General features: G+C 44.0%; 1 protein-coding gene across 1 annotated transcript in view; it reads right to left on the bottom strand.

The window, feature by feature from the left end:
• The window catches only part of EPAS1 (endothelial PAS domain protein 1), an 89,291-nt gene that overhangs the window by 73,599 nt on the left and 2,385 nt on the right, over positions 1–13,307 (bottom strand). The window lies entirely within an intron of this gene.

The following is a 13,307-nucleotide window of genomic DNA, read 5'->3' as shown; positions in this document are numbered from 1 at the left end:
GTTTCTCTGCTAGTAGCTGTCTGACCTCTTAAAGACCTTGGGCAAGTCATCTGCTTTCTTTGGGAGCCCACAATTAGGTCTTGCTCATAAGATGCAAAGCAACAAGTAGGACCTGAGCAGACATGGTACAGATGTAGCTCTTTAGGTTTAGAGATTTGGGTGTGCTGAGTTGAAGGGATATTCCCATTCTCGACAGAATCACATCTTGCACAAACCACCTCCATCTCCACAGGGGAGGGAAAAACAGGCCAGATGTAGAAAGGAGCATAACTGGTCAGACCCTTTATCTAGAATCCTGGAAGTGTCCTTGGTCTCTTGGGTATAATCAGATTTCCTCACATCTCAGGGTATGGGCAAAAATAGAACTGATACCCAAAAATCATTATTAGTAAAAACTAATAATTCTGAAAATCCCAGCCAGGTAAGAAATTTAAAGGCCTGAGAGCAAGAGTCCCCTAGCTTTTCCTAAGGCTGCCTTCCAACTGCAGCCAAATCACATCAACAGGCAATAATGTGCCTAATGATTATATTGCTGTGCTTGTTAATAATGATGCCTTGAAGGTCTGCCCTTTAAACTTTTCAAAGTTCTATTGAGATAATAGTTGCAAAAGTGATTTTTAAAATATAATAGACTTTAAAAATGCATGGTTTTATGAAACTCTAGCTCATTTCAAACTCATAATAGTACTCTGAGAAAGCAGCAAATATGTCTAACCCCACTTAGGAAAGGGGTTAAAGAAAGAAAGGTTAAATTACCTGTCCTAGGTCACACACATCAGAGAAAGATCTAGAAAAGTCTTTCAAACTCCTAGAGACTTGAGAGCTCCTCTGAACCCCATGTGGAGGTAGGCTTTGCCAGGGACACAAAAAAAGAGAAGGTGACTCGGGAGCATTTACAATCCGTTTGGCAAGATAAAAGCCAAGAAACACAGAACCCTGTGGTCATCCCAACGCTAATTTTGGAGGCAAAGAAATTCAAGTGGGTGAAAGTTTGTCTCTCTCCAAAATAAACATGTACTGTGCCTTGGCCCTGAAGATCTAACTCAAGAAGAATTAAGTTGTCGTCATTGCCCTGGTAATATTTGGAGCCATACAAGGAGATACAGGTGGCCTGGAATCACCAAGATTATGTTGATTTGGGTATGGAAAATGGTTTCAAATGTGCTCAAAAGAGATGACTCAGGAACAAAGGGATCAATGCTCACAGTCACCCAGACTCCTTTCTGCCTGGGTTTTCTGCTCACCAGGCTTTCCCAAGGCCTTGGGCTGGCTGGCGGCCACAGTGACCACACCACCCTCAGGTGTGCCCATGTCTCAACATCTCACTAGCCAAGGTGGGGAAAAGTACTTGCTAGGAGTTCAGCAAAGGCAAAGTTGGAACTTTTCAAAAGGATGTTTTACTTTAAAAAGGAAGAGAAAAGGAAATGAACACAAAGGAAAAGACGTGGATATGTTCACAGGTTTCACACCCTAACAGATATCTAGTCACAGGTTAGCTTGGTAGGACATCTTCCTTTTCCTTCTGGAGGTCCACCTGGAGCTGTGAGAAGGTAGATGCTAGACTCAAATTTCTAGCCATGGCAAGATTTGGGTAAACAACACTTTCTAGCCTAGGGGAGTTCTTAGGAGATTCTTGAAACTAGTCCCTTAGTTTGGGCTGCGCTGTGCTCCAAAGCTCTCTGGCACCTGCAGTCTTTTCCTGGTTCTGACAGTCCAGGCTCCTTTCCACCTAACTGTAGAGGGCCCTTCCCTGCTCTCGGGCCTGAGGCTCAGCAGCCTGCACAGAGTAGGCAATGAGCAGAGAATGACTGTGGAGCGAGTCATTGAACCAACCAATCCTGCCTGGGCCAGGCAGCAGTTTCCCAGTTTTACAAGCATTTATTGATTACTAGAGGGACAGAAAAGGAATAAGAGGCCAAATATGCTGGGTGCAGTGGCTCACGCCTGTAATCTCAGCACTTTGGGAGGCCGAGGCGGGTGGATCACAGGTCAGGAGATCGAGACCATCCTGGTTAACACGGTGAAACCCCGTCTCTACTAAAAATACAAAAAAAATTAGCTGGGCATCGTGGCAGGCACCTGTAGTCCCAACTACTGGGGAGGCTGAGGCAGGAGAATGGCGTGAACCTGGGAGGCAGAGCTTGCAGTGAGCCAAGATCGTGCCACTGCACTCCAGCCTGGGCAACAGAGCGAGACTCCGTCTCAAAAAAAAAGGCCAAACACGCAGTTGTCATTGTGAGGTTAAATTCTAAGCCAAAAGTACTCAGGAGTTATATAGCCTCCCTCAAAGTACCGGTGGACAGAATGAGCTAAAGTGACTTGGATGAGACCCGCTGGCCTCTACTGGTCCCTGGAATGGAATCTTCTCCAGTGACTTGGGATCTCTGGCCAAGGCCTGGCCCACAGTGTTCAGGTATGACTTTAAGTGTTTCTAAATTCCTCCAGGGGAAAGGTTACACCTGCTCGAGGAGGGAAAAATCCCCAGCTGCTCTACCCAGGTGACTTCAGGAAGACGGCTCCTTTTTTCCCTCTTCTGGTGGTATCATCCCAAGAACTTGAGTTAGGGCTTTAGGGAGTGTTGTGACCAAACACTAGGAAAGGAGAAGGTCAAGGAACAGCTTGGTCGCAGTGCTTTGTACAGGGTGTGCAATGAACAGTTATTGGTAGAAATTGATCAAAGGGATGGTCTGACTTGGATTTGGCTGTGTCATGCCCTACAGATAGTGGGATATTGAAGGGACTGTTCTCTTTCCATAATGGTTAGACTCAAAAACCTAGAATCCAGAATGAGAAAGGGACAGAATGAGAGCCTTATCAAATAATGAGGGGGACAAAGGCTTTACCATCAGAAAGAGAACCTTATCAAATAATGAGGGGGACAAAGTCTTTACCATCAGAAAGAGAACATGGGGATGAGGGTCACTGCTATTTTAGGATACAGCAAGCTGTCCTCTTCCAGCTCCCACTCCATGCACTAGGAGACTCAGACATGGCGTTTATTACCCTGAGAAGTGGTACAGGCCAAAAAGAAACATATATCAGAGTGATTTGGGCACATTCACACATGCCTGATTTACTAAGGGCTAGCAGGGGAGGCTTTGAGGTCAATATTATAGAAGACAAATCATGGCCTCCTCCAACCACCCACTTGATGCTCACACTAGAGCTAGGCTTCTGGTTGGAGGGCTAATGATGGAGATGCCCTGAGCAGCTTCTCATGTGCCAGAAGAGGCATGCACTGCTCCCATGGCCCCAAGGCAACCCAAAGATTCCATCACAACATGACTCAGGAAGGCCTGCCCCTAAACTTCCCAACACCAGCCCAGGCCTGGTCCTCATCTCCTTTCTGCTAACAGAGCTCCAGATCCAGCCCTGGAAGGAACTGGCTCACCAGTCCTGGCCTGCACACTCTGTTTATTGCTGCCTTCTCATTTTACTTACGCAATTCACCTCAAATGGAATGCCCCATACTCATCTGCCTATCCAAATTCTACCTAATCTTCAAGACAGACCTAGGTCTTCATGCTCCTCCAATAAACCTCCCTCTAATCTCCACTAATCACTTCCCTAACTATTCCCAACACACAAGATCTATTTACCCTTACTCACTCTCACTTAATTACTATCAATCTTCCATTGTTTGCTCAATGTTTTATCTGAGTTGGTTGTGACTTCCTAACAAGATGGCAACATTGTAAAGGCAGCTTGGACATCCATTAACATAAATCATCTTATATTGCTTAAACAAATCATTTTAGGACATCCTGAGTGCAGGGTCCATCTAATGCCTCTTTGTAACCTCACCGTACAGCATAGCACCTGAATTTGGGAGGGAACCTATAAACATCTACACACAGTGATGATTCCCACAAACCCTGCTCTACGCATGGTGGATAAGCAATGAGGATAAGTTAGGTTGATGTGAGCAAAGTGTCTACCTGTGCTTCCAGTTCTCTACACCAAACTCCCAAAGTTCCTGACATAGACAGAATTACTCAGTCTACAAATAATTACTGAGCACCTCAAGAGACCTCTATTCTGACTTCTGTGGGGAAAAAAGAACAGGAAAAAATGACTGGGTCTTTGCTCTTGAAGGGCTTACCACTTGAGTGGTGATCAGGGACATACGCCACCCCCAACCTTCAAAAGCAAGTTGTAAAAGCATCATACAAATAACAAAATACAGACTGAAGACCATCTATAAACACAGGGGTAACCAATGTGCAGTTAATCAGGGAAGGCTTCCCAGGGAAGATGATCTCTGAACTGAGAGCTAGTGCCCTCTTGCACAACTTCCCCATCTTGCTTTTAACGTTGAGATTAAGCTGGAGTATTCTGTTTGGCTGTACTCACATTAGTGTATAAGGCATTCTTGAAGTGAAGCACTGATATAATACTAGCCTGACGTTTGCATCTGATATAAAGTTATGTATCAATAAGACCTGACTGTGGTCCCCCAAATTTTTTCTTTTCCTTTTTCTTTCTTTTTAAAGGGAAATAAGTAAAGGGGTCAAATCTACATGAATAAAGAAAGCAGAGCTTGTGAGGCAGGCTTTCCAAGTAACCCAAGGGACATGAACAAAGCAATTCTATTATTTTTTTTAAAAAACTAAGCATGATTTCAGAGCCCCCCCCCCCAAAAAAAAGCAAGCAAGGTATTAGGGCACATCAGAAAATCAGACATCCTTGGCCTTCAGGAACATGCTATATTGTTAGAAAGGCAAAAACAAATAAAGTGTCATTAGATAACAAGGAAATATAAGCAGGCTCTTTGGCAAACAACCAAAAGCTAGTAATGCAGGGAGTGGGAGTGCCACTGTGGAAATTTCTACGCTCCCTTAGTGATTTTGTGTAAGATTTCGGGAAGCCTGGGCTCACAATAGAAAAGTAGGAGCTATTTGAATAGGAAGAGAGGGGAAAAGCATCCAGATGGAGGAGCTAGTGTGAGGGAATAGAAGTGGGAATGAGTACTGCAGCACTGCCTTTGAGGCTGTGGGAGGAGGCTTGTGTATTAGGAACTCAGGAGGCACAGTGAATGATGGTGAATGGGCGATAGAGGTGAGGTGGGGTCCCTTGCAGTCAGCAAGGTGAACTCCCACTGCCATGGTGGCTGCCCTTGGGAAGAAAACTAGACCAAGGACCCATGTCTTTACTGAGGCCCTGAGTGTCTAGCTAATCTTTGGAGATCCCTAAGAGAAACCCAAATCCACAAAAGAAACCCCTATCCCACTCTGAAGATTCTCTGTGCTCCGAGGATAGGACAATCCCGCTGAGGAGGCCTAAAACAGCTGCAGGATCAGCACCATGTGGACCTCTTCTGGGGGACCAGGAAAGCGATCTCAGCAGCCAGGGTGCCTTCCAGTCAGTCGGCAGGGAAATGCACGGGGGCACTAATTTCCATGGAACTCTGGAAGACTCCAGAGAGTCAGGGGACCACACAGTGCCCAGCCACACAGACTAGGATTTCTTTAGATGTCTTGGCCATGACAAAGGCCCTTACCAAATGGGAGGCGCACATCAGCTGAGGCAAGACAAACAGAGTGATAGCAAGAAAGCCAGAAAACCAAGAAGAGCCTCAACTCCCATGCCCCACCCACCAATAATTCCCCCTAAGTCCCGGGTACAGAATAAAAGACAGACTCCCGCTGCACAACGATATGGTTACATTTATAGAAGCTCTCTTGTCACCAGTGAAATGTGACCTTCATACTTTCCTTATCTTAATATCTGGGTAAACATTTGTTGTGCAAGCACACAAATAAAGGTTCTAAAGGTGAAATGTGGTGTGTCCAGCAACACCACACTGCTCCAAACCCAGGCCCCAGAGAGTCCTTTTGGCTCTGCAGAGGACTTCTCTCTCCCTTCACCCTGGGCACCAAGGCACCAAAATTAGCTTCGTTGACCTCAGCCAGCTCTGGAGTGAACGCTGCCATTCGAAAATAGCATCTGAGAACTCTTGGAAACACAGGAGAGAAATACAAGGGTACAGTGGTTTACAGAAACTTACTGCGAAAGCAATCTCACTGGAGTGCTTTTTTAACTAAATACACAGGAAAGGGGCATTATGAGGATTTACTCCAATCTGTGGAAAGTGAATTATATGCTTCTAGCTCCCATCCTGATTAATTCTATTAAGTGTGATTGTTTTCATTTAGAAAAATATTGCAGAGGTAATGTTCATAAAGAGAGTTTGTCAAATGACCCATGCTTTGACCCAAAATTTTGCTGTACTAACTTGCACAGTCCTATTATTTCTAGACACTCTCTAAAAACATTGTGTCTCATTTCCCCATATATTTGATATATGTGATTTTTAAAATCTTGTCTTGAAATGCAGAAGGAAGGATTCTCAAGCAGTTCCTCAAAAGGCACAATTTTCTGTTGTTTCTATGTGGAATTCATAAACAAAGCCAAGTAACCGAGTTTTTATGTGTGCTTAAAGGCACTCTTTCCTGCAACTGTGTGTGACGTATTTTTCCAGGACAATCTTTCTCAATACTCCAAAGTGCTTCAGTAACAGGAAGTCATAAAGGTAGGAAGGAGGCCTGTAAATATTTGCTGTAATTGCTCATTAGTAATGAGAATGGCTGGCATTGAATTTTGAGTCACCCTTTTGTGCTCATGGCTCATTACCTTGTAACTGGAGCCCAAGGTGGTACATATGGGCTTTCCCTCACCATGGACAACCAGGTCCACTTCTAGGTTTTACTTCAGACAGTGTGGCTTGTTTCTCTCAGCACCTCCATTTCCCAAATATAAAGGAAGGAAAGCATGCTGGTCTTCTTGCTCCCTGCCCCCTAACCAGAGGCAGTCAGGAAAAAACTTATACAAAGTAGTGACAGTATGCAAAGTTTTTATCAAAAGTGAAATGTGTGTATTTTTTTAATACTATACTAATACAACATCGAGAGACAGATAAATACTGTCTGGGTAGACACACAGCACAATGATTTAAATGATTACCAAAAAATAATCATATACTTTAATGGATGTATTTTAAACAACTTATAAAATGCTTCTGAACTTTCTCAGATTCAGCTCATGTGTCCTCTTATTCATAACAAGCCACTGACTCCCCTTAGTCACAGGCCAGCATCAGGGCACCTCGGACTAAAAATGAGACCAAAACACTCAACCCGTTACAGAATTGATTAACTTCTAAGAATACTATTGGCTGTACCCCCTGCTTCTGGGGGCAGCCTACAGGGCAATGGGGGTTACCTTCAGCACCACAATCATGAGTACAACATAATGGATCCACTTTCCTGCCCACGTGTTTGATTACACGGCCTAACCAGATAAAATCACTAATTTGTTAAGATTGCTACCACTTATCTCTTAGTTTTTTTAATAGGAGAGTTCCATGGCTGGGGATGGGGGGATAGTTCAAGAAGTCACTAGGGGTGTATGAGACACTTCTAACAATCCACTTCCATGGCTTTATAGAATTCACAAAACGTCAGATGAGTACATGGCAAATAAACATATGTTTCAATGGGGTCATTTTTCTCATTGACAAGACACCCTTTCTGAAATATTTTTCCACATGAGAAAAGGATCTGTTCACAGGATCATTATCTGGCATGGAAATTACTTATAACTTTAAAACTGAGGAATCTTTCCAAGTTCGGGGGAGTGGGGGCAGTGGGAAATGTGCCTCCTGGAAACATGTGGAACTTCTGGCAGTGATGTCATCTAGTAAGAGTTTTGCTGACGTACAAGTGGCCCCTGCAAACAGCCTAAGGCAGTCAAGCAAACAGGTATTTCTTAAGAAATTAGAAAAAACAAGGTCACTTAGAAGTGGATAACATTCTTGTCCATTCCACACCTGACTCTTCAGCTCCAGGTATCTCACAAAGGGTCTCGCCACTCTTCTTCACTTTATGCTTTCATCAGATCAGTTATGGGGCTTCCAACAGTGGGAACAGACAAGGGTCACCAAATTACACCCAACATCTACTTGAAAATTACAGATGCTATTAGGGGCATCCCATGGATGACCACCACATCGACTGTGATGCACAGTTGCCAACACGGCTTGCTTCTCTCTTGATTAAGGTATGTGTCAATGCAATTCTGTTTGGCAGCACTAGAAAAACTCAAGGTACCCTCTAGGTTCACAGTGCAGGGGCCAACAGTGTGATGGCTGTTAAGGCTCAGGGCTCATCAGCGAAAGGGCTCTATAGAAATGCAACATGCTATTATCACAACAATCATAGCTATTCTTTATCCCCCTATCCATTCTTTCCTTCCTGTGCTTGCAATTTCAAAAGATCAAAAGAGCCACAGGAAGTCCTGTGCATCTTGATGGTTCTTCAGAAGCCACAGAGGAAGAGCTTCTAACAGGTTCTCCTGCACAATGGAGTCCGAAGGCTGAAGTAATTATTGAAGTCTTGCCACCAGCGAAGGGTGGGATGTGGAAAGCTTTGAATTTCTTGGGGCAGGAGAGAACCACCTCTTGTCAGGGTCTAGGAAAACCCATGAAAAATAAGAAATTCAAGGAGTTCCATGTTGGCCTTTCAGATCTTCAATCCCTATCTGCTTGTGAGGTTTGATGCAAGTGATAAATCACAAAAAAGAAAAGTAATTATAATTACAAGGAAAACAACAAAGGCAGTTGTCATTTATAGAGCACTTATTGTGAGTCAGAAGCAGTATTAAATACTTTATAGATATCTTCAGTAAGGGAAGGGCGTATGGAACACCCATTGAGAGTATAGACTCTGGGGACCTCCTTTACTCAGGTTGAATGCAGCTCTGCCCATGCTACCTATACGACCTTGGGCAGTTAGCCCTTCTAGACTTCAGCTTTCCCATCAATGAAGTGGGGATAATAACAGGGCTTATCTCACAGGATTAAAAAGTTAATCCATGTAAAGTTCTGAGGACGGCACTGGCACAAATAAGACTGTCAGTTTTTTGTGTTGTCCTGATGCAAAATATAATTTCTATTAAGACCACATACATTCCTAGAACATGAAGGTCATCCAAATAACTGTTTGAGGATGATGGAACATTTGAGGATAAATTTGTTTTCACAGTCATTTTTCAGAAGCATTAATAAAATGAATCATACCAGTATTTACCCTGTGCAGGGCACTTGGCTTCCCGTCCTTCCAAGACTGAGGGCAGACATGTAGGTGGACGGACACGCCAGCCAGGGACAGGGAAGATTAAGCGGCACCTCAGAACCTTTACTAAATACACACACCTTCCTCCTCCCCATTCTTCACCACAGGGAGAGGCAATGGCAGTAAAACACAAGAACTGTCTGGGATCTGAACAGGAAGACTCTGAAACATAAGACAGTCACCAAATCAGACATCCAAGAGCAAGGGCTTGCCTTTTCCATATCCTAGAACCTTTGAAAGGCTATGGAGAGCTGAACAGACTTCCTTTAGAACAAGTTGCTTCTATACATAATGTCTTGCACACATTTTCAGAGATTTACACGCCAGCCTCTGAAACCCATTCACAAAGCCTGGTTAAGAAGCTCCCTCTCCCTTCTTGGCCTTCCTGGAGTCATAGCTGTCTCCACTGATATTCTCAGGGGAACAGAAATTACTACCCCTGTTGTCTGTGGAGCCCCACCAGCTCCCTTTCCATGTCCCCACCCAAAGCAAGTGTATAAAGAACAGCAAACATTCCATTTCAGGGGCCTTCCTGTGTATGGTGTCGAAGTACATGATAAGGGATACACCATAGGGAGCCTTGTGTGTTTTCTTTCCTCTCGTTAGCCCTCAAAGACTGCCTTCTCCCATTTGACCTTCCTTCTGAGCCAGTCTTTAAGCTGGTGGTCAGCACCTACTCTGTGTGGTTCCGGGGACACTAGGAACAAATTTCTCCACCTCTAAATACACATAATACTCTTAAATAATTGTGTGTGCTTATGTGTGTGTTGGGGAGGGGGGCGGTTATTACCTGAAATGCTACTCAGAGCTTATCTTTTGCTTCAAAATATTAGATTTCTACAGAAAAGCATGTAGGCTGTCAGCTCTTTATATTTTCTTTCTTTTCTTTCTTTCTTTGACGTTGTCTCGCTCTGTCACCCACGCTGGAGTGCAGTGGCACGATCTCGGCTCACTGCAACCTCCGCCTCCCGGGTTCAAGCGATTCTCCTGCCTCAGCCTCTTGAGTAGCTGGGACTACAGGCATACGCCACCACGCCTGGCTAATTTTTTGTATTTTTAGTAGAGATGGGGTTTCACCATATTGGCCAGGCTGGTCTCAAACTCCTGACCTCGTGATCTGCCTGCCTCGGCCTCTCAAAGTGCTGGGATTACAGGCATGAGTTACCACGCCCAACCCCTTATATTTTTACTTAAGCTTCCTTGTATCTCTTTTTTTTTTTTTTTTTTTTTTTTCCTAATCAGACTAAGCAACTTGATGACCAGGACCATATCCCCTATTTCTTAGTATTCTCTTCAGCATTTTAGCCAGAGTAGGAGTCGGTGTTGAATACAAGTTTGTCATCTTATGGATTATATCTTAGGGTGAATATCAGAGCTGGTGTCCATCATGTGAACAGGCAGCATGGTACTGGTGGGGAGAGGGGTGGAAGTACAGAGTACTAGGGCCCCAGGAGCTAATATTGCTAACTTGACAATATTGGTAAAAGCTAGACCTGTTAAGAACTACCAGCAATGGTTAGTACTGAAAGCAAAAGGGAAGATTCATCAGGCTAAAATAAAAAGGGAAACTAGCAGGTTGGCATAGGGCAGAACCAAGGAAAACAAAACAAAACCCCCAAAAAACTACTAGATTTCCTGAAAAGTGGAAAAGCCTAAATCTCAAGACAATTAATGACAGCAAGTATTTTCAAATGTAGGAGCCTAAAATCCTGGAGCACTGAGAATTATCTAATTGTTTCCTTCCATTTCTAAACACTTTACTTAATAAATTCCTAGAAAGTTGAGAATCACCACTGCCCCCCCCCCCGACGCACGGGCACACACACACACACACACACACACACACACAGAGAGAAAGAGGGACATTCTAAGTAAATTAAACTGTTTAGTCTCACAGTTTTCACTCCTAGTGAAAATGCCAACTAACCCAGTACAAAAATCAATCTAGCAGCTGCTTGAATGTTCTCTACCTCAAAAAGCAATCTGCTCCACTGAGGAGCGGTCCTTGCATTGGTTTTGTTTAATGAGGTCTACCTATATAAGTAGATTTTTTTCTAACTAAAACAATGAATTCATACTTCTCAAAGTTTACAGACACTGGGAACAGCATCAATTCAACTCTGCTTCCTTTTTTTTTTTTTTTCAAAAAGCAAACAGAATCATCACTTCTACTGCAGCCTAAAGGTGTTGATAATTATCCAGAAAAGCAAATCTCCTTTCTATAAGGTTCAGCGGTTTGAGAGTTGTGATGGGGAAGGCACTCCTTCGGAAATCATCCTCACTATCTAGAGATATTTCAGGGCTGGGGTACTCTCCTGTGAACAATAGGAAAATACATACTTAATTGAAAGTAATAAACCAGGGTTCTGACTTTTTTTTTTTTTTTTTTCTTTGAGACGGAATTTCACTCTTGCCCAGGCTGGAGTGCAGCAGCGCTATCTCCGCTCACTGCAGCCTCTACCTCCCGGGTTCAAGCAATTCTCCTGCCTCAGCCTCCAGAATAGCTGGGATTACAGGCACCCACCACCACGCCCGGCTAATTTTTTTGTGTTTTTAATAGAGACGGGGTTTCACCATGTTGACCAGGCTGGTCTTGAACTCCTGACCTCAGGTGATCCGCAGCCTCAGCCTCCCAAAGTGCTGGGATTACAGGCATGAGCCACCGCGACCAGCCCTGACTCTTATCAGCACTAATTTTCCTTGTGACCGGAGAAGTCTTTTAACCTCTCTCGGCATCAGTTTCCTTATCCAGAAAGAGAAAAGTCTGACTAGATGATTTCCATGGTCTCTTATAAAATAATTCTAGGCTCCCTATAAGCACCACTGAAAAAAACTTGAAATGATGGCATTCTTTTGAACTTCATGAAAACTGTATGAATTAAAACTTAAATACTCAAGCCAACAATGTGTTACATCAATTCTGTATCATCCTGCGCTGCTGGTAATACAATGGAAACATATCAAGTGTGGAGGGAATATTTATTTAAAATATATGTTTAAATTGAGAGAAACTGTCCAGCAATATTTTTTCCCTTCAGAGTTGGAATAATGATGGAGTTTGATTTGATTTTAGAAGAGGAACAACTAAGTCCAGCTGTCAGAAGGAGGGGGAGATTGGAGATCCAGGTGTCTCCAATTCCCCTTCCACGCTAGCCCTGTACTGAGCACTACTGTATAAGCACTCTGGGAAGGTGTCTGGACCTAGGTCTGGCTTTGGGACTGGACTTTGATCCCTGATTATCCAAGGATCTCATTTACATTTGCCTGAACCACTCCTCAAACCCCGTGAATCCCAGAATTTCCACATTTTTTTCCCAGTGAAAGGACTCAGGCATTCCTGATAGATGCGTGCACAAAAAGGTGAGTGAAAGTGCAGTACCCCCACCCACCAGGCTTCAGTTTCTGACATCTGTGATGTCACCGCAAATGCCCACTACCACCAAAACTGGTACTATCAAGGACACCCAGCCAACTAACATTTAGAAAGCAAACTCTTTATTATTAAACATTAACATATTTATCGACGTGTGAACATTCTGGGACAAAATCATCTGCCCACTTCTTGACGGGCCATTGTTAGAACGAATATTCCAAATGTTCTGCCCATATTGCATTTGGGGGAAGAAACTGCTCTGCTAAACCAAAGAAACACAAAATGTAAGAACTAGTGGGCAGAATCATCAGCAGAGAGCCCCCTCACTGTCACATCGCCCTTGTGAGGCACTCAGAAAAGCTACAGCAGTCACTTACATGACAACACCAACTTTCAATGTATTGGTTCACATATTTTAATTACATCTTGGTCCCTAAAGAAGCCTGCAGCCAGCAAACAGACCCAGGCACGAAAAGTAAATGAGTCTCAAACTGATTAGCCCAATAGGAATTGGACAACCCCTTAAGGGGCTCTAGATGGTGAAGGACACGCTGTTTGCCCTGCCATTCTGCAGCACAAAAATCCAGGCAGGTCGAAGAGGGCGGACACCCTCGCGTGGCCACCAGCCCGGAGCCGCAGCTCACACAGCGGCCTCCAAGGCGTTTCGCAGGCAGTCCCCACAGTGGTTCTTAAAGCGGCCGCTCTCGCCAATAATTGGGAGTCTAATTACGCAACGTTCTTCCCGCTCCCATTCCCGCTTCTTCTCTCTTTCCAACAGTCCGCTAACGAACCAGGTACTGTAG

The sequence above is a fragment of the Homo sapiens genome, chromosome 2 (genome assembly GCF_000001405.40).
Source record: "Homo sapiens chromosome 2, GRCh38.p14 Primary Assembly".
In the NCBI taxonomy this organism is placed as follows: domain Eukaryota; kingdom Metazoa; phylum Chordata; class Mammalia; order Primates; family Hominidae; genus Homo; species Homo sapiens.
Note: the sequence above shows the minus strand (reverse complement) of the source record. Positions and strands in the feature narration are given on the sequence as shown.